The sequence below is a fragment of the Homo sapiens genome, chromosome 5, assembly GCF_000001405.40.
Source record: "Homo sapiens chromosome 5, GRCh38.p14 Primary Assembly".
NCBI classification, from domain to species: Eukaryota; Metazoa; Chordata; class Mammalia; order Primates; family Hominidae; genus Homo; species Homo sapiens.
Window position 1 is genome coordinate 65,636,223 of NC_000005.10, and position 25,780 is coordinate 65,662,002.

A 25,780-nucleotide genomic window follows, 5' to 3' on the forward strand; every position below is an offset into this window, starting at 1 on the left:
AACCTCCACCTCCTGGGTTCAAGCAATTCTCGTGCCTCAGCCTTCCGAGTAGCTGGGATTACAGGCGTGCGCACCGCTCTGGCTAATTTTTGTGTTTTTATTGGAGACCGTGTTTTGCTATGTTAGCCAGGCTGACCTTGAACTCCTGACATCAGGTGATCCACCCGCCTCAGCCTCCCAAAGTGCTTGGATTGCAGGCATGAGCCACCACGCCTAGGACATGATACATTTGAGGGGCAAAAATATTATTAAAAAATCATACTATGTGATTATGGCTTTCTGTTATTAAAAAAAAAAGATATATACCAAAATAAAATGTTAATAGTGGTTCCTAGCATAATAGAATTTTAACTTTCTTCTTTAGATCTTACTATATTTTGTAATGGCCACATAGTCTTTTAACTACTAATGTAAACATCTTTTTCAGAAGCCAGTCTTTGTTTTTTTGCATCATAGTCCTCTCCCAAAATGAGTTATCAGACTTGTCAGCTAATTAGGAACTCTAAATTTATTTCTTCTGTTATCCTTAGCTGTATTATTATTCTAGATTAATAATAAGGTAGAAGCCCCTGGTTCCACTCTGTTTGCAACAGACAGAATTTGAGACAAAAAGAAATTTTACAGATTGTTTTTATAGTTTTACAGAATGTGGTCATTGACTAGTGTCTTGAAAAACTGGGAAATATATTCATGTAAAAAGTATAAAACTAAAATAAAACCACTGGTGATTTTTATTCAAGTAACCTAGGAAATAAAATAAATTGGTAAAAATACCCCAATATCAGTAACTTAGATCTCTTCTAGATTCAGGGAATAAGTTATTTCAAGAATGGAAACTTGGCTCTCTCTAACCTATTCAGATACAAATCCTAAGACTTTAGCATAGGTCTAATTTCAATGAGTCTTATCTCTAGTGAGGTTGGCATTTTGTACAGTAGTCAAAGGCCAAGATATATCATGTTCTATAGATTACGTCTGTATTTTGAATTGCACTAGGTAATGAATGAGTGGCCTAGTGTGAACAAAGGAATGTTGAAGCAGTATTTCACCAGATTTCTATCCTTCAGTAAATGTTTCTCCATTTGAAGTTCTTAGTGATTCTCAAACAGATTATTTAATGTAAAACCTGATGGGCACAGTGGCTCACGCCTGTAATCCCAGCACTTTGAGAGACTGAGGCGGGCGGATCATGAGATCAGGAGATCGAGACCATCATGGCTAACATGGTGAAACCCCGTCTCTACTAAAAATACAAAAAATTAGCTAGGCGTGGTGGTGGGTGCCTGTAGTCTCAGCTACTCGGGAGGCTGAGGCAGGAGAATGGGGTGAACATGGGAGGCGGAGTTTGCAGTGAGCCTAGATCGTGCCACTGCACTCCAGCCTGGGTGACAGAGCGAGACTCTGTCTCAAAAAAAAAAAAAAAGAAAAAAAACCTGAATGGATTTCTGCCTAAATACTTATTTTATTTTACAGGAATATATTTTTGGGAGAGACCTTTTCCAGTTATATCAGCGTTCATAATGATAGCAATCAAGTTGTAAAAGACATATTAGTAAAAGTAAGTAACATTCTTACTTGGGATGTATTTTAGTCTTTAACAAAGGTTTTTTTTTAGGCCGGGCATGGTGGCTCATGCCTGTAATCCTAGCACTTTAGGAGGCTGAAGCAGGTGGATCACCTGAGGTCAGGAGTTCAAGACCAGCCTGGCCAACATGGTGAAACCCCATCTCTACTAAAAATACAAAAATTAGCCAGGTGTGGTGGTGCACACCTGTAGTCCCAGCTACTCGGGAGGCTAAGGCAGGAGAGGCTAAGGCTTGAACCCGGGAGGTGAAGGTTGCAGTGAGCCAAGATCACGCCACTGCACTCCAGCCTGGGTGACAGAGTTAGACTCCATCTCAAAAAAAAAAAAAAGAAAAAAAGGTTTTTTTATATCTATTATGTTTTTGGCACTTCATTAAATGCACGTTTGATACAATAATTTTTAATTGTCATTAACAAGCACTAATGAATGCCTACAGTTATAAAGTATTATGTTAGGCATGAAAACATTTTTCCTATTCCACAAGATTTGTGATTGCTTGGGTGAGAAAATGTACTAGTCAAAGCTAAATAGCAGTTTAGTATTTGTTAATGTATGTCATTAACATGGAAGATGAAAGATCACTGGAGATTATGTCAATCTGGAAGGTTTCTTGGGGGAGAGGGAATGCGAAGAGGATCTTGAAAGAATGGGAGGATACAGATAACAAGGCAAGGGAGACATGGTAATCAGAGGCAGAGACATAGTGGTACACATGTGTTCTTTTAACAGTGAACAAATTTCACTTGGTAAGAGTCCGTAAGGTGGTACAGAGGAATAGTAGCTGTATTAGTCCATTTTCATGCTGCTGATAAAGTCATACCCAAGACTGGGCAATTTACCAAAGAAAGAGGTTTAATGGACTTATAGTTCCACGTAGCTGGGGACAATCATGGCGGAAGGCAAGGAGGAGCAAGTCATGTCTCACGTGGATGGCAGCAGGCAAAGAGAGAGAGCTTGTGCGGGGAAACTCCCATTTTTAAAACCATCAGATCTCAGCCAGGCGTAGTGGCTCATGCCTGTAATCCTAGCACTTTGGGAGGCCAAGGCGGGTGGATCACTTGAGTTCAGGAGTTCGAGACCATCCTGCCCAACGTGGTGAAATACCATCTCTACTAAAAATACAGAAATTAGCCAGGAGTGGTGGCGTGTGCTTGTAATCCCAGCTACCTGGGAAGCTGAGGCAGGAGAATCACTTGAACCTGGGAGGCTGAGGTTGCAGTGAGCCAAGACTGTGCCACTGCACTCCAGGCTGCCTGGGTGACAGAGTAATACTCCATCCCCCAAAAAATAAAAATAAAACCATCAGATCTCATGAGACTTATTCACCGTCATGAGAACAGCACAGGAAAGACCCACCCCCATGATTCAATTATCTCCCACCAGGCCCCTCCCACAACACATGGGAATTACGGGAGCTACAAGATGAGATTTGGGTGGGGACACAGAGTCAAACCATATCAGTAGCCATACAATAGAGCATCTTGAAAGCCAGGCTAAGGTTTTATTTAACCTTTTTTGAAAAATTATTTTTTAAAATGGACAAAAAAATTAATTAAGAAAAAAAAAAACAGGCCTGGCACAGTGGCTCATACCCAGAATCCCAACACTTTGGGAGGCTGTGACAGAAGGATTACTTGAGGCCAGGAGTTCAAGACCAGCCTGGGAAACATAACGAGACTCCCATCTCTACAAACAATTTAAAAAGTAGTTGAGCATGCTGGCACACACCTGTAGTCCCAGCTACTCAGGAAGCTGAAACTGGAGGATTGTTTAAGCCCAGGAGTTTGAGGCTGCATTGAGTTTTGCCTGGGCACTCCAGCATGGGCTACAGAACAAGACCTGTCACTGAAAAAAATTAAATAAAAAACAGCAGGCAGTTGGCTTTTGAGCACTCTTTGTGTTAGAAAGACTGATATGAGCACATTGTGTGGGATGCTTTGTAGAAAATGGAACAGTTAGAAGACCTTTGAAGTAGTGTAGAAATTAAAAGATAGAATATGCTAACTCCGCTAATGACCTGAAATTTCTTCAAAAGAAAAAGAGCAAAAAGAAGGTAAGAACTCACAGTATGTGGGGGAGAGGTTTTTGTAAAACCTGTCTTAGAGTGATGAGTTCAGGTAATTGGAGTATTCCAAAAAGGACCTCTAATTAGAATGAGTTTGAAAATGATCATAGAGTTTTAAAGTTAACAAGGACGTTAGAGAGCAAATAGACCCAACTTCCAGAAACTGGATGCAAATTTGTGCATACACGTACATATGTTTGTCATATATGGATGGGGTCTCTGCCTTTCATTAAATTAGGAGTTGACAAACTACAGCCCAAAGACCAAATTTGGTCCATTGTCTGTTTTTATAAGGCTTTTGAACTAAGAATGGTTTTCACATTTTCAAATTATTGAAAAGAATATTTTGTGACTTGTGAAAATTACATGAAATTCAAATTTCAGGCCAGGTGTGGTGGCTCCTGCCTATAATCCCAGTGCTTTGGGAGCCAAGGCAGGAAGATTGCTTCAGGCTACGAGTTTGAGACCAGCCTACACAACATAGCAAGGCACCGCCTCTACAAACAAACAAAAAAGAAATTCAAATGTCAGTGTCCTTAAATAAAGCTTTACTGACACACAGCCATACTCATTTGTTTATGTTTTATCTGTGGCTGATTTCCAGCTACCACAGCAGAGTTGTATATAGTTGAAACGGAGATTGTATGGCCTCTAAAATCTAAAATATTTGCTAATGACTTCAGAGAAAAAGCTTGCCAACCTCTACATTCGATTGTGAAAAGATCTGATTTTCAAAAGTTTGAGAACATATACTTTTGTCTTTCTATGTTGTAAATATTGAATTTCTTGGAATTCAGTAAATACTGGCAATTCAGTAAATTCAGTAAATATTGAATTTATTTTTATAAGAGATTAATAAAATAGCAAAGGCATATACTTTAAGATGTCAGTACTATAAAGATCAAAGAATACAGTAGTATGCATGTTCTAAAACATGATTTTATATTTCATGCCTTTATTCACTTTTATAATAATAATTATAAGCAGTGTAGTACTCACTAGGGGTCTTAGGCTCAACTAGACATTCAGACTCATGATATATAATAATGCTATTTTTCTTTTTCTTTCTTTTTTTTTTTGAGAGAGGATCTAGCTCTGTCACCCAGGCTGGAGTGCAGTAGCATGATCATAGCTCACTATAACCTCAAACTCATGGGCTCAAGGGATCCTGCTGCCTTAGCCTCCTGAGTAGCTGGGATTGCAGGGGTGTGACACTATCCCTGTCTAATTTTTTAATATTTTTTAGAGACAAGGTCTTGCTATGTTGCTCAAGCAGGTCTTGAACTCCTGAACTCAAGCAAGCCTCCCGCATCAGCCTCCCAAAGTGCTGGAATTACACATGTGAGCCACCATATCTGGCCAGATAAGCCAATTGTGACATCAGAATCACTTAAGAGGATATAGGTCATGAAGCACAGCTTGATATTGACCTGTATTTGTGTGAGTGTTGTCTTTTGATCAGGTTTTAGGTGTCAGTATTATGGTTGCTTAATAAAAGATTTCGGATGTTTTTCCAGTATTTTCAGTGCTTTGGAACAATATGTGCATCAGGCTAGACTCAGTGGCTCATGGCTGTAATCCAGCACTTTGGGAGACCAAGGCAGGAGGAGCCCTTGAATCCAGGAGGATCCCCAGGACTCACCTGGGGAATATAATGATCGATGTCCCTACAAAAAAGAAATTTAAAAATTCTCTGGCCATGGTGGCGCATACTTGTAGTCCTAGCTACTTGGGAGGCTGAGGCAGGAGGATCACTTGAACTCATGAATTCGAGGCTGCAGTGAGCTATAATTGTGCCACTGCATCCTAGCCTGGATGACAGGGCAATACCCTGTCTGAGAAAAAAAAAAAAACAAAAAAAACAAGACAAAACAAATACAGAGAACTGTGGATCATTTAGATTACCTATTCTTTGAACGATTTGTAGAATTCCCTGCAAAATCATATGAGCTAGTTCTTTTCTTTTTTAAAATGGGGAAGCTCCCTGATAACACTTTTTCTTTTTTTTTTTTTCCTATGAATATAGTATGTTTAAGCAGTTTATCTCTAAGGGTGTCAATTTTGTTAAGCTGTTTTTTTCTAGGAAATAATCCATTTCATTTCATGTAGATTTTCACATTTATCTGCATAGAGGTCTGTAAAGTAGGCTCTTAAAATTTTCTTCTGTTGGCCGGGTGCAGTGGCTCACGCCTGTAATCCCAGCACTTTGGGAGGCCGAGGCAGGTGGATCACCTGAGGTCAGAAGTTCGAGACCAGCCTGGCCAACATGGTGAAACCTCATCTCTACTAAAAATACAAAAATTAGCTGGGCGTGCTGGCGAGTGCCTGTAATCCCAGCTACTCAGGAGGCTGAGGCAGGAGAATCGCTTGAACTTAGGAGGCGGAGGTTGCGGTGAGCCGAGATTGTGCCACTGCACTCCAGCCTGGGCAACAGTGTGAGACTCCATCTAAAAAAAAAAAAAATTTCTTGTATTGCAACATTTTCCCCTGGTCATTTCTTAGGTTTGGTTTTTTTCTTGATTAAGTTAGCTAGCTCTTGGTTTGTGTATTTTAACTTCAAAAAAAATCCAAGACTTAAAAAATTACTTATATCCCATATGTTTCTATTCTCTTTAAGTTGTGCTTCTATTTCTTTTATTATGCTTCTGTTTATTTACTTTATTCTTTTTCTACCATTTTTTAGCTAGGAATTTTATTCTTTTATTTTGATTCTTTGATTTATATTGATAAAAGTTAATTTTCCTCTGATTCACTGCTTTTTATATCCTGAAGATTCAAATGCATAGCATTTTTATTCTCATTACTTTTGATTTTAAGAGGTGAGGTTTCACTCTGTTGCCCAGGTTGGTGTGATCATAGCTCACTGTAGCCTCCACCTCCAAGGTTCAAGCAATCCTCCCATCTTAGCCTCGCGAGTTGCTGTAACTGCAGTTGCATACCACCACACCTGGCTAATTATTTTTTATTTTTTGGAGACAGCATCTCACTCTGTTGCCCAATGTAGTGAGACCAAATTAAAAAATAAATTAAAAATTAAAAATTGATGGTGGAAGAAAGAGCTGATGCCTACTGTACAACAGTAAAGAGGTAGTAGCATTGTTGAACATCCCAAACACCGTATCTTACATTAAGACAATATAATAAATGTGAAAATACTTTGCAGAATTGCCCAAATTAAAAACTTTTTTTATATTTTTATCATTACTTTTTAAAGAATTCTGTAATTTCAGTCGTATTTCACCTTCTACCCAAGGGTTGTTTAATGGAAAAGCTTTTTAGGGGGAAAGGCTTTTTTTTTTCTATTTTAATTGTTGTTAATAATTTATAGTTTTATTACATTCCAATCAGCGTTGTTCTTGTAATATTTCAGCTTATGGAACTTACTGATGATGTCTTATGACCCAATATTGATTTTTTATGAATTTTCCATGTGTACTTGAGAAGAATGTATATGTTTTATTATTGGCTGTAAAGTTAGAGATATATATATATATTCATAAGAGCTATTTTATCAATTGTGTTGTTTAGGGCTAGATTCTGTATATTTATTGTTAACTTCATCCGTCTTATACTAAGAGTGGCATGTTTGTCTCATATTACTAGTGTATTTCTATATATATATTCTAAAATCTCATATATTTTGCTTTATAAAGACTGCTGTTTCGGCTGGGTGGGGTGGCTCATGCCTGTAATCCCAGCACTTTGGGAGGCCGAGGCGGGCGGATCACAAGGTCAGGAGATCAAGACCATCCTGGCTAACACGGTGAAACCCTGTGTCTACTAAAAATACAAAAATTAGCCGGGTGTGATGGCGGGCGCCTGTAGTCCCAGCTACTCGGGAGGCTGAGGCAGAAGAATGGCGTGAACCCGGGAGGCAGAGCTTGCAGTGAGCCGAGATCGTGCCACTGCACTCCAGCCTGGGCGACAGAGTGAGACTCCGTCTCAGAAAAAAAAAAAAAAGAAAGAAAAAAAAAAAAAGACTATGCTGTTTCATGCATATTTATAATTATTGTTAGTCATTGTGAATTGCAGCTTTTAATATTAAAAATATTCAAGTAGATTGCTCAGGAAGTTCTTGTGGGTACAATATTCTCTGAGCCCTTGTTCAAAGATGTTTTTCAATACTTCAAGTTTAGTTTGGCTAGATTTAAAATCTTCTGTTTACATTTTTATTTCCTTATGTTTTTTGAAAATGCTACTCCTTTATTGCTCAGCTCTGTATGTTGTTTTTGAGAGGATTGAGGCCAGTCTAATTCTCTTGCCTTGTAAGTTATTTCATAATTTTTCCTGGAGGTCCTGGTGATTTTTTTTCTTTATGTTTCAAAATTGGTCTTTGGGTGTGATTTCCCTGATTCCAAGTAGACCCTTTCAATATGGGTCTGCAACCTCCACCTCCTGGTTTCAAGTGATTCTTCTGCCTCAGCCTCCCGAGTAGCTGGGATTACAGGAAACTGCCACAATGCCTGGCCAATTATACCAAACTCTTAGTGTCCTCTGAAGACATCTTGAGCTTTCACACTTGTGGTATTTTGCTAGCTCTGTTCAACTTACTTAGAATAAGTTCCCCCAACCCCTTTCCTCTTTGCCTTTTCAAATCCTACTTATCAAAAAACTGCAGTTATGATTAAAATGACACATAGGACACACAGGAAAACATATTCAACAGAAAGCCAATGGGTTCAATTATTTCTTTTTTTCTCTAATTTCAAAAATGTTTAAGAATTTATATCTGGGCGCAGTGGCTAACACCTGTAATCCCAGCACTTTGGGAGCCCGAGGCGGCAGATCACTTGAGGCCAGAAGTTTGAGACCAGCCTGGCCAACATGGTGTAACCCTGTTTCTGCTAAAAATACAAAATTTAGCCAGGCTTAGTGCCGCTTGCCTGTAATCCCAGCTACTGGGGAGGCTGAGGCAGGACAATCACTTGAATCTGGGAGGTAGAGGTTGCAGTGAGCCAAGATGGTGCTGCTGCACTCCAACCTGGGTGACAGAGCGAGACTCCGTCTCCAAAAAAAAAAAAAAAATGTTTAAAAACTTTTAGGGCTGGGCGCGGTGGCTCATACCTGTAATCTCAGCACTTTGGGAGGCCAAGGCGGGCAGATCACCTGAGGCCAGGAGTTCAAGACCAGCCTGGCCAACATGGTGAAACCCCATCTCTACTAAAAATACAAAAAATTAGCTAGATGTGGTGACGGGCGCCTGTAATCCCAGCTACTCCGGAGGCTGAGGCAGGAGAATCGCCTGAACCTGGTAGGCAGAGGTTGCAGTCAGCCGAGATCATGCCATTGCACGCCAGCCTGGGCAACAAGAGTGAAACTCTGTCTCAAAAAAAAAAAAAAAAGAATTTTGAATCTCAGCTTTATTACTTATGAATTGTATAACCTTGGGAAAGTTGTTACTTTTCTGTGCCTTGGTTTCATTGTCTGTGGTCTGTGAAATGGGGATAATACTAATACCTACTTCAGGATATGGGGATTAAATGAATAATATGCTTAGAACAGGGCCTTGCACATAATAGGTACCAAATAAATGTGAGCTACTATTGTTTTATAACTGAATATAACAAAAGACACAGCAGTAATAAATATCCCATTTCAAAGTGTCTAACATAAAATTGTTGGGTTAGAATTAACTGCAAAACTGTTTTTTAGCAGGGCGCGGTGGCTAACGCCTGTAATCCCAGCACTTTGGGAGGCCGAGGCGGGCGGATCACGAGGTCAGGAGATCAAGACCATCCTGGCTAACACGGTGAAACCCCGTCTCTACTAAAAATACAAAAAATTAGCCAGGCGTGGTGGTGCATGCCTGTAATCCCAGCTACTCGGGAGGCTGAGGCAGGAGAATGGCGTGAACCTGGGAGATGGAGCTTGCAGTGAGCCGAGATGGTGCCACTGCACTCCAGCCTGGGTGACAGAGCAAGACTCTGTCTCAAACAAACAAACAAACAAAAAACTGTTTTATAAAAGAAACAAAAACTTAAAAGAATCCTAACTCTCATGTAAAAACCTCCACTAATTCCCATGACCTAATGTGATCTTTGCTTTCCCTCAATTTTTTTTTTGCCTTGGAAGTTTTATCATAAATTCATCCATTCATTATTCAACAAATATTGATTAATTGCCTACTATGTGCCAGGCACCATGCTATAGTGGTGAGCAAGAGAAGACGAGGTTCCTGCCTCCATAGACTTTTCTGGTAGGGGAGACAGAAAGAAACAGGTAAACAAAATCATACATAAGGTAATTATAGATTGTGATAAATGTTACAAAGGAAGCAAAAGTTGAATGTGGTAGAAAGTAATTGAGATAAGGGGGAGGGTAGTTTTAAGACAGAGTGATAAATGTTCAAAAGGAGAAAAAAGAAATATAATGGAGCATCATCGGGTGGAGGGAAAGTGCTACTTTAGATGAGGTAGTGCTTTCTTAGTTGGTGGCTTTAATGTCATTTTCTAGTTCTCTTATAAACGAATTGATCTCTGACATCTAATTTTGTTTTGGACGATTACTTATCTTTTAGTGTTATATACTAGCACATACATACATATCTATTTGTTTCAGTGAAGTCCATCTGAATATATATTTAAAAACCATGTGTTCATACTGATGCCTCAAATTCCAGTCCAACACCATTGTAGCTTCCCCCCTTCCTTATTTGTACCTTTTTTTTTCTCTGAAGGTAAGAAACCTGTCTCTTGTTATCCACAATGTATTATTTTGTTTTGTCCTAGTATACACATAAAATGGTGAAAAAACACGTGTCGTAGCTAGAGTATATTTGTGTACCATTCTTTTTGTCTTTAGCCATAGATTACAGTTAAGATTTTGTTTTCCAAACTTACTTAGGTTAGTTCCACTTTTACCCTTCCCTCTGCTATAGCCCGATTGTATTCTTCATTTGTAATGCAGTTAGGTTCATTTGTTACTGTTTATATTCCATTTTGAATTCTCCCTAATTCCTGCTTGATCTTATTTATTTATTTTTTTGGGGTTGGGGGGGTGTGCCATTGCCATGGTTCTAAGCATCAGAGCTATACAGAAAGGTTTACACATAAAAGTGTTGCTCCCCCTTTCATCCTTCTTTCCTAATTCTTATTCCCCTATTCTTTCCACTCATAGCCATGCACACCCTGTAGGTAACCAGTCTCATTTGGACTTTTTTTTTTTTTTTAACTTTCTTTCAAGGCTGATCTTCAGACAAGTTCTCAGCGTTTAAATCTTTCAGCCTCCAATGCTGCAGTGGCTGAACTTAAACCGGATTGTTGTATTGATGATGTCATACATCATGAAGTCAAAGAAATTGGAACACACATGTAAGGATTAATTTTATTAGTTCTCAAAGGTTTTTACTTATATATGCCTTTGTTTGAAATTTTTGCTTTCTTTTCATTCACCATGAAGCATAGGAACCTACTTCAAAAGGAATTTTATGTTCTATGTTGGCATGTTTACCAGAAATAAAGTTTAAACCAAATGTTTGTTTTGTAGGGAGAAAATCCAGTTTATCATCATTTATCTCTAGTTTTATTTTTTTACATCTACAATCTCTAAAAAATGAAAAGCTGTACAAAATGTTTAAAACCCAGGTAGCACTCTAAAAGTAAATTTATTGTGTTTTGAAATGCTAGTAACTGATGTTCATAGTGTTTATTTTTAAATTCAGTTTTTCAGTTTTGTATTTAACCAGGTATATGCACTCTGTCCTGAGAACTCAGAAATGTAGGACCAAAATAAGGCACACTGTGAAAAAAAATCAAATTCTGTATTCCTGCCTTGTGTATGTATCTGAATGTGAACGCTCTATTTTTCTTTCAGTCTGAGAGGCAATATGAAAATTTTAGCCATCTGAAGTAATTTTAGACTTCTTCATCTCCTTTAGAAATCCTGCATCCAGTCAGTTCACAAAATCCTATTAATTCTCCTGAATATCTTTCATTTATCTCTTCTTCATCTCTACTTTACCACTTTTGCTTCTCTTTGTGCCCATTGAAGTATATAATATTAGCTGTTATCTAATCAGTTAATTTTGGTGACAAGCTCTATTTTAGGGACTTTTTCATGTATATTCTTTGGGCTTTGGAGTCAGACTTCCCAGAATTCAAATTTCAGCTTCATCATTTGTTATGTGATCTTGTATAAGTCACTTAATTCTTCAGTGATTGCCCATTGTCCTTAGGAAATTCTGACTTTGCAAATGTTTTACAAAGCTCTCTGCAACCTAATTCTTAACAAACCACAGTAGTTCTTACCATCACCACCCATCCCTCCCTCTCCACCCTGCAGTCATTATTTGACTTCTTTTATCTCCAGACTCCATGGATTGAAATGCATTCTTCCCTTACAAAGGAATACCTATGGCATTTTATTTAGTTTACTTCTACTTCTCTTTCAAATCTCAGATTCAGCACTACTTCCTCAAGAAGTTTTCCTAACCTGCTAGACTAGATTAAATCCCACTTTTTGTATCTTCTATAGCACCCACCATTTATCATTTTAAAAAATGTTTCGTATTTACTTATTGAGTGCCTGTCCCTGCCTTTCCCATTAAAGTAGGAGATGCATGAAGTCTGCTGTAGTCCAAGGATCTAGCAGAGAACAGAAGTCAGTATTTATTGAAATGGTAATAAATGTGTAAAATCTCCATTTTACAGAAAATGAGACTTGTACAATTAAGCAGCTAGTTTAGAAGACATAGAACTCAAATCCAAACCTAGTTTTAGATCCTCTACCTTGCTATACTATTCTTACTGTGAGCACTTAGAAGGCATGTATTGTGCTTTGATCAGTCCTCTTCCTAGCCCCTGCCTTACTTAGTCAGTACTAGGCAGCACAAGTATAAAGGAGAAATTAAATTACCTGCTAATGTTACCACCCCATATAACCAACCACTATTAAAATATTAATATATTTCTTTCCAGTCTTTTTGCATATATATATAAAATAAATGTGTATAAATAATATTTTACAAAATTTTGGCCATATTGCTCATAGTTTTATTTTTTTAAATACAGTGTGAACATTTTCACACACAATAGACAGTATTTTTTGGAAACACAGTTTTTGGGCCGGGTGTGGTGGCTCATGCCTGTAATCCCTAATAATTTGGGAGGCTAAGGTGGGCAGATCGCTTGAGCTCAGGAGCTCAAGACCAGCCTGGGAAACATGATGAAATCCCATCTTTACAAAAAATACAAAAATTAGCCAGACATGATAGAGCATGCCTGTAGTCTCAGCTAGTCGGGAGACTGAGGCGGGAGGATTGCTTGAGCCCAGGAGGTCAAGGCTTCAGTGATCCATGATCACGCCACTGCTCTTCAGCCTGGGTGACACAGTGGGACCCTGCCTCAAAAAAAGAAACTTTTTTTTTACATGACTCCATCTAACACAATTGTACAGTGTTTTTTGTTTACTGTAATGTTGGATGTTTATTTTTGGTTTTTCACTGTTAAAAGTAACACAGAGATGAACACCTTAATGTTTCCTTATGTGGAATATTTGAAGTGGTTTTACTATGAGAACACATTAAGCATTTTTAAGGCTCTTTCACTAAAAGATTGTTAAATTTCTTCCAACCACTAGCAGGGTAGAAAGACAGTTTCTCTAAACCCTCACCAACTCTGATATCACTTATAAAGAATTTTTTCAACTCTTGATAAATGGAAAAATATTACCTCATTATTTTAACGTGTTTCTCTGACTACTTGTGAGGCTGAACATTTTCACATTTTTGTTAGCCAGTTATGGTACTGTGATTTAACTGTGTATTCCTTTTCTGATGTTTTGAGTGATCTATTGGTGTTTTGCTTATTAACTTATGGGAACCCTTTGTCATATTAAGTATTAAAGTGTAACCACTTTCTCGTATTGTTACAAGTATTTTATCCTAGTTTGTTTCTGCTTTGTAATTGTTTTAGTGTTTTTGATTCAACTTAAAATTTTTTACATAACAGTATTTCTCATTGCATTTATGTTAAGAAATCTATCTGTATTTTTTTTTTTTTTTTTGAGATGGAGTCTTACTCTGTCGCCCAGACTGGAGTGCAGTGGCGCAATCTCAGCTCACTGCAAGCTCTGCCTTCCGGGTTCACGCCATTCTCCTGCCTCAGACTCCCGAGTAGCTGGGACTACAGGTGCCCGCCACCATGCCCAGCTGATTTTTTGTATTTTTTTAGTAGAGACAGGGTTTCATCGTGTTAGCCAGGATGGTCTCGATCTCCTGACCTCGTGATCTGCCCACCTCGGCCTCCCAAGGTGCTGGGATTACAGGCATGAGCCACCACACCTGGCCTTTTTTTTTTTTTTTTTTTTTGAGATGGAGTTTTGCTCTTGTTGCTCAGGCTGGAGTGCAATGGCGCAATCTCAGCTCACCACAACCTCCACCTCCTGGGTTCAAGCGATTCTCCTGCCTCAGCCTCCTGAGTAGCTGGGATTACAGGCGCCCACCACCACACCCAGCTAATTTTTGTAATTTTAGTAGAGACAGGGTTTCACCATGTTTGCCAGGCTGCTCTCGAACTCCTGACCTCAAGTGATCCGCCCGCCTTGACCTCCCAAAGTGCTAGGATTACAGGCATGAACAACCGTGCCCAGCTGGAATTTTTTTAATCCATATTTTTTTCTAGTTTATATGAACTTGTTTTATATACTCAAATATTTGATTATTCTGAGAATTATTTTGGAATATATTTCACCTTTCAGGTGAAGTCAGGAAGTTTCTGATTTTGTGCTCCAAAAATGTTATATCTCATTTTACTAATCAGAGCTTTGTTGTTCATGTAATTATGTCCATATCTATTCTGACTTTTTCCCCTGCTCTAATCTCACACATCCACACCATAGATATAAGTGTTTTCCAAATTTCTTAGTAGAATTGAGGTGTGTTTGATTTACTATTAAAATTAAAAATGACTCAGAATCGTTAAGACATCTTTCTGTTTCAGCTTGGTATGTGCTGTGAGTTATACAACTCAGGCTGGAGAAAAAATGTATTTCAGAAAATTCTTCAAATTTCAGGTATTGAATATGACAATGGTAAATAGTTTTTATATGCCTTTTTCTTCCTGGTAGTATACAGTTATTCCCGTTTATCTGCAGGGAAAACAAGCTCCAAATAAAGCAAATAGCTCAATATTTTTGAATGTGTCATATGACTAGCAGTCTAAACTCAGACTAAATTAAGGTGAATAAAAGCAGAAGAATTATCATTGCCAACATGTTTTTGTAATGAAACTTGAAGGTGTTTATTCAAAATAAAAGAAAAAAATAGCTGAGTCTGGCACAGTGGCTCACACCTATAATCCCAGTGCTTTGGGAAGCAAAGTGGGGAGGATCACTTGAGGCCAGTTCAAGATAGCCCAGACAACATGACCTAGGACTACAGCACAAGCCTATAATCCTAGCTCGTTGGGAGGCTGAGGCGGAAGGATCGCTTGACCCCAGGCTTCAAGGCTTCAGTGAGCTGTGATCACGCCACTGCACTCCAGCTTGGTCAACAGAACAAGACTCTGTCTCCGAAAAGTAAATAACTTGTTTTTATGGCCTGAGAAAACACACAATGTAGACAAGGGATAAAATGAGTGTAAAGTCCAGATAAAATGAGAGTAAATAATATCAAATTTCTAAAGAAATTTAAAGGAGAGACAATTGACTTAGAGTAGACTGAGCTTCCTTCAAAGACTCCAGGAATCACTGGAACTTTAAGTTGAGTTTTGTATTAATATACAGTTTTCAGCTTCCATCAAAAATAGTTTCAAAACACTGGTTTAGCACATTTATGTGGGGGGGGTGGTGAGGAAATGTGAATACCACGTATGTCTATTATAAATATAGATCTAAATATGATACTGTATATGGTTTTTTTCATTCCTTTGTAAGTGGAAGAAAAAATACTATTCATAGGGAAAAAAAATCTGCCATTCTTTTGCTGAATCATTCATTTGTATGCTTTTTGAAAGAAAATAAAACGTGATTCAGTTTTTTTTTTTTTTTTTTTTTTTTTTTTTTTTTTTTTTGAGATGGCGTTTCACTCTTGTCGCCTAGGCTGGAGTGCAATGACGCGATCTCAGCTCACTGCAGCCTCCGCCTTGTGGGTGCAAGCGATTCTCCTGCCTCAGCCTCCCGAGTAGCTGGGATTACAGGCACCCGCCACCACGCCCAGTTAATTTTTGTATTTTTAGTACAGACGGGGTTTTGCCATGTTGGCCAGGCTTGTCTCGACTCCTGACCTCAGGTGATCCGCCTGCCTTGGCCTCTAAAAGTGCTGGGATTACAGGAGTGAGCCACTGCACCCAGCTCAGTTGCTTTTTTTTGCAAACAGTTTTTGTGAATATAGATATAGAAAAATACATAAAATGTATGTGTTTGGTTTAACAAAATATTATGGAGCAAAAACCCATGTAATGTAATTATCACCCAGTCAAGAAATAATGGTAGCCTCTCAAAAAATACATTAGGGATTCTTTTTTCTTTTCTTTTTTTTTTTTTTTTTGGAAGAATATTGCATACCTATTAGAAAAGTCTTTTAACAATTAAAATTGGAAAATGACTGACAAACTTACACTATTTGATTTAAATAAATAAATAAATGGTCACATGATAACAATCTCCTGATTGATATGCTTTATTTAACCAGGTTCTCAAACCATTGGATGTGAAAACCAAATTTTACAATGCAGAGGTAAGTGTTGAGTGTTTAATGGGATTTCATATTAAACATTAAGATCGTATTTGACTAAAAATCTCTTATATACATTTCTAATACTGAAGCAAATCGCCAACGTGACTGTAAATTATTTGAAAAAATCACAAATTTCAGTTAAAATTGAATAATTTTATTATAGGTCTCATAATCTTTTTCAGCTTACATGGAATCAATGTGTCTTGATTTTTATTCTCGTTAATTTTATAAGGCTTTCATCTCCTTTCGTTAAATGATTGCCCTCTCATTCCATTTAATGGTGGTTGTTACACTAGCAATCTGTTGAATATTTACATGTGGTTCGGGATTTTACAAAAATTGAATTAGTAGATCTAACGCTGCAAAATAGATTTAATATTCACATGGAAAAATACTGACAAGTGAAGCTTAGCACATTAAATTATTTCCAGGGTAGTCAGTTTGCCAGCCAGAATTAGGTTGCTGAGTTTGGTGTAATGGCTTTAAAAGCTCCTTGGGAAAAACAAATTTGGCAAAAAGAGAAGTAACTTATAATAGAAGATACTCTATCTTTTACCCTAAAAAAAAAGAGATAAAATAGAACTTGCCCAAAAAAAAAAAAGAACTTGCCATAGGAGAAAGGATTTATTGCTTGGATTTCTTTTCTAAGATTCTGTTTTATCTTGGCTTCTAGAGCTGCAGAAAAATCAGATCTCTTGCTAGCCCTCTTATGCCCCAAAATCTTGTGTTTCATACCAGTGATAAATTCAAAGATATCCAAATACAGTATTTTGAAATGAAGATTATATCTCTGCTACTCTAAAACCAGATAATGATCAGACATTTTTAATCACATGGCAAATTCGGTATTTATTTTTACCATCCACAATCTGAATTTTTACTCAGTAAAATTTATACTATAACTAGGATTTCTAAGATGTCAAAGTTAAGGAACCTAACCTGCAGCAAAGACCTATTAGGAGAAAAGAAAAAATGCATGTAATAACAAAACTACCTAGAATGGAATATAGTGAGAATGATACGAAAAGATGTGCTGCAAGAGCTCTCGGGAATGTGATCTTGGAATAGTTTAAAGAAGCTTTATGGAAGAGAAGGAAAACTGGATTGGAGTCTGAAAGGAATGCAGGTTGGAAACAAGTGTCAAAGCAGTGAAGGCATTCAAGCAGGGTTACAAATGGACATGAAGTATCAAGTACATAGGAAAGAGCATACCTATTTGACGAGAGGGAAAAGCATCATCAAGATTACTAGATGTTTACAAAGTTGATGTTTCTTTTGTGGGGGATAGGTGAGTTGGAGTAATACGCATTTATTCCCTCTTTTTTGTTATTAATACCACACTGTTGATTAATTACAGTATAGCTAGTCAGCATGGTGAGATTTAAATAGTCTAATTTTTGCTGGAAAAGATTTCATTTATAGTATGAGGGGAAAATGTTAACTATTCTGTTAGAAAATTAATTTAAAATAGGGCAATAGGTGGGTTATTTTCTGTAACTGGCTCCTAGGAGTCACATATTCAGTTATTTTAGGTTTTCTTCATTAAAAATATGGTAGTACACTAAGATACCTGTAAATTAGTTTTATAACGCTAATATTCAGAGTGATTTGTGAATAATTTTAAAAATTGCTAGTTTTTCTATAAACATTATAGAAGTGACATGCTCTCCATAAAGAAATAAAAATTCACAATTCCACCACACCAATTGATTTTTCATTATACATACTCTTTTGCAGTCTTTATTCACTTATATATAATATTCTATTTTTATAATCACGACAATTTTGTTTGCTTCCTTTGTCAGTTAACATTATATGTTGACATAATCTTTAAATCTTGCTAACAAACTTCAATCAAAATAATTTCAGTAATATTCTGAACTTTTGAAAATAGATCTCACTTTAAAAATCAGGAGTGAACAAATAGCATTTTGGGTCTCTCTAAGATACTTAATATTACCTATTAGACAAACAAATACTGTTCAGCCACTAGCATGAGGCAGATTATGTTGACCCCAACCAGGAATTTCAGGTAGATTGTAGGAGTTAATAAACCACAGTAATATCAGTAAGTGATGCTTATTGCTCTGTGCTGTAGTCCTTTTACAGTTAATATTATTGGCCCCACATCTGTCTCAAACATATATTTTGATACTGTTTCTAATAATGCTGTAATATGTGAATCACCTAAAGGAAAACAAGTTCATGAGAAACTTTGTTATAGTCTTCTAAGATAGAAAAGCCTTGCAGGCAGATTGGTGAGACTAGAAGCTAGGTTTCAAACATTTGGTCACCTGCCAGGTACCGAAGATAAATATAAACAGAACATCTTCCCAATTCTGAAGGGACCTGCATCCAGTAGAGGAGACTGACATGATGCAACTATAATGTAAGCCCCTCCCACACATATAACCCAAATCGTGAAGTAACACATCCTGGGTACCTAGAGAGGTGAAAAATGATTTCCAGCTATGCATTTGATGGAGGTGACATTTGAGATTGCTCTTAATAAAACATTGAAGAAATATATAAGTTTTAAAAAGGCTAACTATGAAATCTACTAAGAAGAAGAGAATTCTCAATTTTTTCAAGTGGTTCAGCCCCACATTCCCTGAAGTGATCAACGGAACTCTAATTGCCCAAGATATTCCTTAGAAAGATGATTCCATTATTACATAAATTTAAGAGAAGGTATACGGTGTATATCTATTCTGAATGTGGAGGATAGTATATATTCATCCTAAATTATCTATGAAGAATTGCAATGTTGGTAAAGAATTATAGAACTAGAAAGTCATGGGGTATACCTCTCTGCTCCAAAATGTGCCCTTAACAGTTTGCTACTGTTGAGTATTCAGCCATAGGGTTCTTCTCTATTCCATTGTCATTTAACCTTAGCAGTTTCACCTTTTTAGAAAAATGGTTTGTCATATTTCTTTATGTTGCTTCCTGTTTACTTTCTTATTTACTAATGCTGTCTTGTTTAGTAATTTAAAAAAATGCAGAAATGCATTTTATTTTAAAGTAATTCTTTTTTCTTTAACATTTAACTCTGATTTTTCTAATTATTCTTTTTTATTTTTCCATTAGAGTGACCTCAGTTCTGTGGTAATTTGATTTTTTATTATAAATTTTTATACTTTTCTTACTCACCACTTTTTGACTCTGCCTAATTAATCTCTCTTTACAAAACATAGTGGAAAAACAGTTAGTTGTGAATACCACCTATGTGACTTCAGAAAGATTATATATAATTTTATGTACTTTTTAATTATATCAATTTTCTATTCCGTGGGGCAAAATTAGCTCAAAAGTTAAATTGTCATACTGAAACAATTCTCATTTTCAGTGTTTCTTCTTTAGATTTTTTTTTTAAAGAGGTATGTTACCTTGTGTCAAATGGCCTTGTGATTTTCATCATCTTACTGTAAAATACCCGATTATCCTAGCCTTCAGTTCTTTGAGTAGACTGTATAATCGAAATTCATTTTCAGATGCACAGTGGTTTTAGTTTTAAGTCTGGGTCAGGTGATGATGGCCGCTTGACAAAATGAAACAGAAGAAAAGCAAATTTTCCCAACTTGGCTAAAATTTTGTTTTCAAAGTTATATTTACAATAAGCAGCATTTGCTTATATCACATTACATATGTAATAACATCAACTGCCTTAGCACTGAATTCTTAATTTTTAAAATATCAAATTGCTTTACACTAACTGTTCAAACTAACTTGATTTTCCATTATGCTGCTTGTTTTTCTTTCGTTTTATCTAAGCTCTTCCTAAATTTATGCAGAAAATTGCAGTTTTTAAATTGAAATGTGGGTCTGTGGTTATTTTTTTAAAAGCAATGGATTGATGGGATATATGTACTTTTTTTTAGAACCAGTAACCAAAAAATGCCATTAAATGATGCATTTTTTTAAACTGATAAATCATTTTATTTCTATTTTCATTTGAACACATGTCCCAAAAACTAAAGAATCTGTTTTATTTTAGATAATAGTACATTATATTATAACTTAATCATTATATTTTTGCAAATGATTTTCATTTTCTTGGTGTTAGTGTTTAAAAAGCTCAGCCAGGCGCGGTGGCTCATGCCTGTAATCTCAGCACTTTGGGAGGCCGAGGCGAGCGGATCACGAGGTCAGGAGTTTGAGACCAGCCTGGCCAACATGGTGAAACCTCATCTCTATAAAAAATACAAAAATTAGCCAGGCATGGTGGCACTTGCCCGTAATCCCAGTTACTTGAGAGGCTGAGGCAGGAGAATCACTTGAACTCAGGAGGCAGAGGTTGCAGTGAGCTGAGATCGCACCACTGCACTCCTGCCTGGGTGACAGAGTGAAACTTCGTCTCAAAATAAATAAAAATACAAAAATTTAGCTGGGCATGGTGGCACTGCCTGTAGTCCCAGCTACTAGGGAGGCTGAGGCAGGAGAATCGCTTGAACCTGGGAGGTGGAGGTTGCAGTGAGAGGAGATCTTGCCACTGCATTCTACTCTGGGCAACAGAGCAAGACTCCATCTTGTGGGGGTTGGGGGAAGCTCATAGGCCAGGCACAGTGGCTCACACCTCTAATCCCAGCACTTTGGGAGGCCGAGGTGGGTGGATCACTTGAGGTCAGGAGTTCTAGACCAGCCTGGCCAACATGGTGAAACCCTGTCTCTACTAAAAATACAAAAATTAGCTCAGTATGATATTGCGCGCCTATAATCCCAGCTACTCGGGAGGCTGAGGCAGGAGAATCCCTTGAACCCGGGAGGCGGAGGTTGCAGTGTACCAAGATCACCCCACCACACTCCAGCCTGGGTGACAGAATGAGACTGTCTCAAAAAAATAAAAAGCTCTTAAGTGGCAAATTTTTCTGGTCATAGTTGATTTTATGTTATTTATGTGTAGTAAACATATTACTATGAAACTTTTGAAAAAAATTATTGAATACCCTTAGTGTATCATTTTTCATGTAGGTTTGTTTCAAAGATAAATCAAGTTAGTCTGTTATCCTTCAATTACATGAAGGAAAATAATAACCAAATAGCATAAAATAATGTTTAGCATAATTAGGGGAATTAATTTATCTAAATTTATCTAATTATCTAATTTATCTAATTATTAAAATTACCTACTGGCAAATATTGCTAAATAGCATCAGCTTTAAAATCTGTCACTGAGGCTACAAAATACCTTTTGCCTGATTTAAAAGCTCTACGATGGTGAAGTATAATCCACATATTCTTTTTTTAGCCCTCAATATACATTTAAAATGAACTAAGAAATCACTAATGACCACTCGCAAATTGCTTTAATTTAAAAAGTTAAATCCTTCAAGATTACAAAATAGATTATTCATAGTATTAGTGGTCACTACACTATCTAAATTGGCATTAATATGACAATCAAAGTTATACTGCCATATTATAATGAAGACTTAATTATCTTAACGTAATACTGAAATTATAGGAGCATAGGTATATTCATCATACTAAAGCACATTTTAATATTTTAATACCTAATGAAAAGAAAGAGTATTTGTAAATGAAATTCCAGTTAAGTATTTTGGGATGTTAAGACAAAATATAGTTATCCTCCATCCATTGTTTGACAAGGTATCAGTTGACTAACACTTGACTTTGCCCCTGTTAATTATGATAGGGTGAAGATTTCTTTTCTTGCATTAATTGTGGTAACTTTGATTTGCAGGCATGAACTAATCACATTTGTGGTTAATATTTTTTCTTCATATAGATAAGATATTTTTGTTGAGATAAATATTTTAAATGCCACCACACCTTGGTGGATATTTTTTTCATATCCTCAGACTGATGAAGTATTTCTGGAAGCCCAGATTCAGAATATGACAACCTCACCTATGTTTATGGAGAAGGTTTCACTGGAGCCATCTATTATGTACAATGTAACAGAATTAAATTCAGTCAGCCAAGCTGGAGAATGGTAAATATTAATTTATGAAGTCTTTATCCTTGTTTTGAAAGATACATGTTTTTCTAAACATCCATTGCTCTTCAGTGGGTTTTTTTTTAATAGACTTTTTTTAAAGAATTTGAGGTTCATAGAAAAATTCATCAGAAAGTAGAGTTTCCACATACCCTCTTCCACTCCTCACAGTTTCTCTTGTTATTTACGTCTTGTTTTTTATTTTATTTTTATTTTTATTTATTTATTTATTTATTTATTTTTTGAAAGAGTCCAGCTCTATGCAGTGGCATGATCTTGATCTAGGCTCACTGTAACCTCCACCTCCCAGGTTCAAGCAATTTTGGTGCATCAGCCTCCCAAGCTGCTGGGATTACAGGTGCATGCCACCACGCTTGGTTAATTTTTTTATTTTTAGTAGAGATGGGGTTTCACCATATTGGCCAGGCTGGTCTTCAGCTCCTGACCTCAAGCGATCTGCCCACCTTATCCTCCCAAAGTGCTGTCCTTACAGGCGTGAGCCACTGTGCCTGGCCTACATCTTGTTTTAATGTGGTACATTTACTACAATTGATGAAATGATATTGACACTGATTACTAACTAATGTCTATAATTTACATTAGAATTCACACTTTTTGTTGTATGTTTTATTGTTTTTGGTTTTTGGTTTGTTTTGTTTTAAGAGACAGGTCTCATTAATGTTGCCCAGGCTGAAGTCAAATTTCTGGACTCAAACGATCTCCCAAGTATCTGGGACTATAGTCAAGCACTGTAGGTTTTGACAAATATATAACATGTATCCACCATTACTATATTATGCAAAATAGTTTCACTTTCCAAAAACTCTCCTGTGCTCCATCTTCATCCCTCCATTACATAAAAATAAAGATCCTAGCCCTTTTAATTTCATGTTTTACTATTCAAAGCATTTGGTCTTTTAAGTCTCATAAAAATCCAGTGAGGTAAATATGAATCCTATCATTGCTATCCTGCAAATAATAAAATGGAGGAATGTGAAGGAATGGTAGAGAAGTTAAAAAGAGTAAGGGTGAATGTGGGTTTAAAAAAAGAAATACTCTCTCAACATCAAAAGAAAAGGACATAGGAATAGATGGTTTAATACTTTGTGAAAAGGAAATACATACACCTTTCCACAGCTAATTTAAAAGAGGAAGAATAAATGTAAAGTTGACAATAATACAGATAAGAAAGTAATAGGCTGGGTGTGGTGGCTCATGCCTGTAATCCTAACCCTTTGGAAGGCTGAGGCCAGAGGATTGCTTGAAGCTATGAGTTCTAGACCAACCTGGGCAACTTGGCATTTTTTTTATTTAGCTGGGCATGGTGGTACACTCCTGCATTCCTAGCTCCTTGGGAGAGAGGCAGGAAAATCGCTTGAGTCCACAAGTTCAAGGCTGCAGTGAGCCATGATTGCACCACTGTACTCCAGCCTGGTGACAGAGAGAGACCTTGTATTTTAAACAAAAAAAAAAAAAAAAAAAAAAAGAAGAAGAAGAAGAAGAAGGTAATAGCTTGGGATAGCATCTGAATTTCTTAATTAGGAATGAAAAGTTTGCTTTTATATTCTTAGGTTGGTTACACACAGAAAAGTTCATAGCCTCTTTCATCCTCACTGAGGAAAACAATTTTCCATTCTTTTCTAGATGTTTTAGTTCATTTTGAAAATTAGTTTAGAATGGTATGTCTCTTATTATTCTAAACTCTTATCTTTGATAATTTTAGAGAAAAGAGACAGGATACTTAAGGTTCTGGTTTCTGTTGCACTTTTCAGTTAATTGATACATGTTCAATTTTATAAGTAATATATTACATTCTATTATAAAGAACCTCCTTGAACCCAGAAGTTAGAAGTTACAGTGAGCTATGATCATACCACTGTACTCCAGCCTGGGTGACAGAGCAAGACCCTGTCTCTTAAAATTATTTAAAAAAAAAAAAAGGGACCCCTGCCTTTCGGGGTCCAATTACTATAAAGAACCTCAAGATTTTCGATATCAACTGAAAAAAATGAAGGAAAAATAAATCATTGCAGTATACGTTCTTTTTATTTGTATTGAAATCGTTAACATGTTCTGTTGTTGATCTTTGGAGGGTACATCATCCAGTTCCTATCCAAAGGAACAATCACAGCCATGGTTTTTCTTTTAAAAGATGCTAGAGAATTTTCTCCGTCTCTGTCTCCACCCCTCTCAGTGTGTCTACGTTTGGGTCAAGAGCATATTTGCAACCAATGGATACACGCCAGTACTTATACTGCCTAAAGCCAAAGAATGAATTTGCAGAAAAAGCAGGCATCATTAAGGGAGTAACAGTAATTGGAAAATTGGATATAGTATGGAAAACAAATCTAGGTGAAAGGGGAAGGTTACAGACCAGCCAACTTCAAAGAATGGTGAGTCTGGAAAAAACTTCGCTGGGGTTTTGGTGTGTGAAAGACAGGTAGTTAGAACAACTTAATTTTTTCTACATCCAGCAGTAAAAAATTGGAGCACTATAAAAGGCATTACTACTACTGGAGCAGAAAAGATTAATAGTGTCACTGATAGGTAGGTCGAAGACTGGTGTTGCCATGAATGAAAAATGGTCAAATGTTAATTTATCCTTAATACACGTGTTCTTTATCACACAGAAATTAAAATAACTGTTATTAAGTGTCTCTCCTTTGGTAACACATGCTCACTCTTCTTCTGATTTCCAAACACATTAAGGTTTTCTATTTTGCAATGTCCTGAAACTCTTGGACTTACTTCATTCACCTACTCAGTTCCTACCATTTTTAAGATGTTAAAAATCTGAGGCATCTCCTCAGAAGGTGAGTTCTACTAAAGTTATCTTATAAGCATTGGTTGCATATTTTACCTAATTTCTTCTCTGAGAGTAGGGATAGCTACCAGGCTTCTTTTTCTTATGCTTGTAAGAATATACGACAGGATTCTCCTCCCTTTATGCTGAATATTACCTGTTTTGACATATTCCAAATTTTACTTTTCTTTCCACTGTTTGAGGCAATAATTTTTAAAAAATGATGATGATGATTCCTGGGCCCACTTAAATATAGCCGTTAGTTATTTTTCTGCCATGGCCTGTTCCAAGCCTTCGTGTTGTTATAATCCATCCTCATCTGTGCGTCTTGTAAAAAGTCATGATTTTCTTCCTGGCTCCTTTCAACATCATCCCCCTCTTTCTTTAGAAAATAACTTTACCTATTTAGAGTTACACACATAGAAGCTACAGCATCTGGAAAGTGTCCCTTCAACTCCCTGAAATTTCTTTACTGACTACTTACCTGTGAGATTCATCTTAACTCTACTGAACATGGAATAATTATATAACAAAAACAGTCCAGGTCTGCCAGGCTATTCCACAGGCAGTAGCTGCAAAAGAATTTAAAATGAGAGACAAGTAAAGTGAATCAGAAGTATTTTCTTAGAACATCAGCTTGGAAACCCAACAGCTGTTGAGTAAATGTGCTGCTGTGGTGCCTTCATTAAAATGGA

The 25,780-nt window shown here is 36.9% G+C and overlaps 1 protein-coding gene across 6 annotated transcripts in view, besides 1 other annotated feature; it reads left to right on the plus strand.

Moving 5' to 3' along the window:
- TRAPPC13 (trafficking protein particle complex subunit 13) overlaps window positions 1-25,780 on the plus strand; it is a 41,207-nt gene that overhangs the window by 11,196 nt on the left and 4,231 nt on the right. For 2 of the 6 annotated variants that reach the window (NM_001093755.2, NM_024941.4), the window contains exons 4-10: window positions 1,474-1,558; window positions 10,833-10,960; window positions 14,588-14,660; window positions 16,279-16,323; window positions 19,414-19,431; window positions 22,146-22,279; window positions 24,477-24,675. In NM_001093755.2, the coding sequence (NP_001087224.1) occupies window positions 1,474-1,558; window positions 10,833-10,960; window positions 14,588-14,660; window positions 16,279-16,323; window positions 19,414-19,431; window positions 22,146-22,279; window positions 24,477-24,675 (682 nt within the window). The remainder of the gene's footprint in view (window positions 1-1,473; window positions 1,559-10,832; window positions 10,961-14,587; window positions 14,661-16,278; window positions 16,324-19,413; window positions 19,432-22,145; window positions 22,280-24,476; window positions 24,676-25,780) is intronic. The other 4 variants (NM_001243737.2, NM_001093756.2, NM_001365342.1 and 1 more) reach the window with 2 other exon arrangements.
- Window positions 2,827-3,274: a silencer, noted in NCBI's record as "fragment chr5:64934876-64935323 (GRCh37/hg19 assembly coordinates)". NCBI's record gives its function as "represses an EF-1alpha promoter that drives an FKBP-Casp9 reporter gene in an ReSE screen in HepG2 liver carcinoma cells {active_cell/tissue: HepG2}" and the evidence as "EXISTENCE:reporter gene assay evidence [ECO:0000049][PMID:32094911]".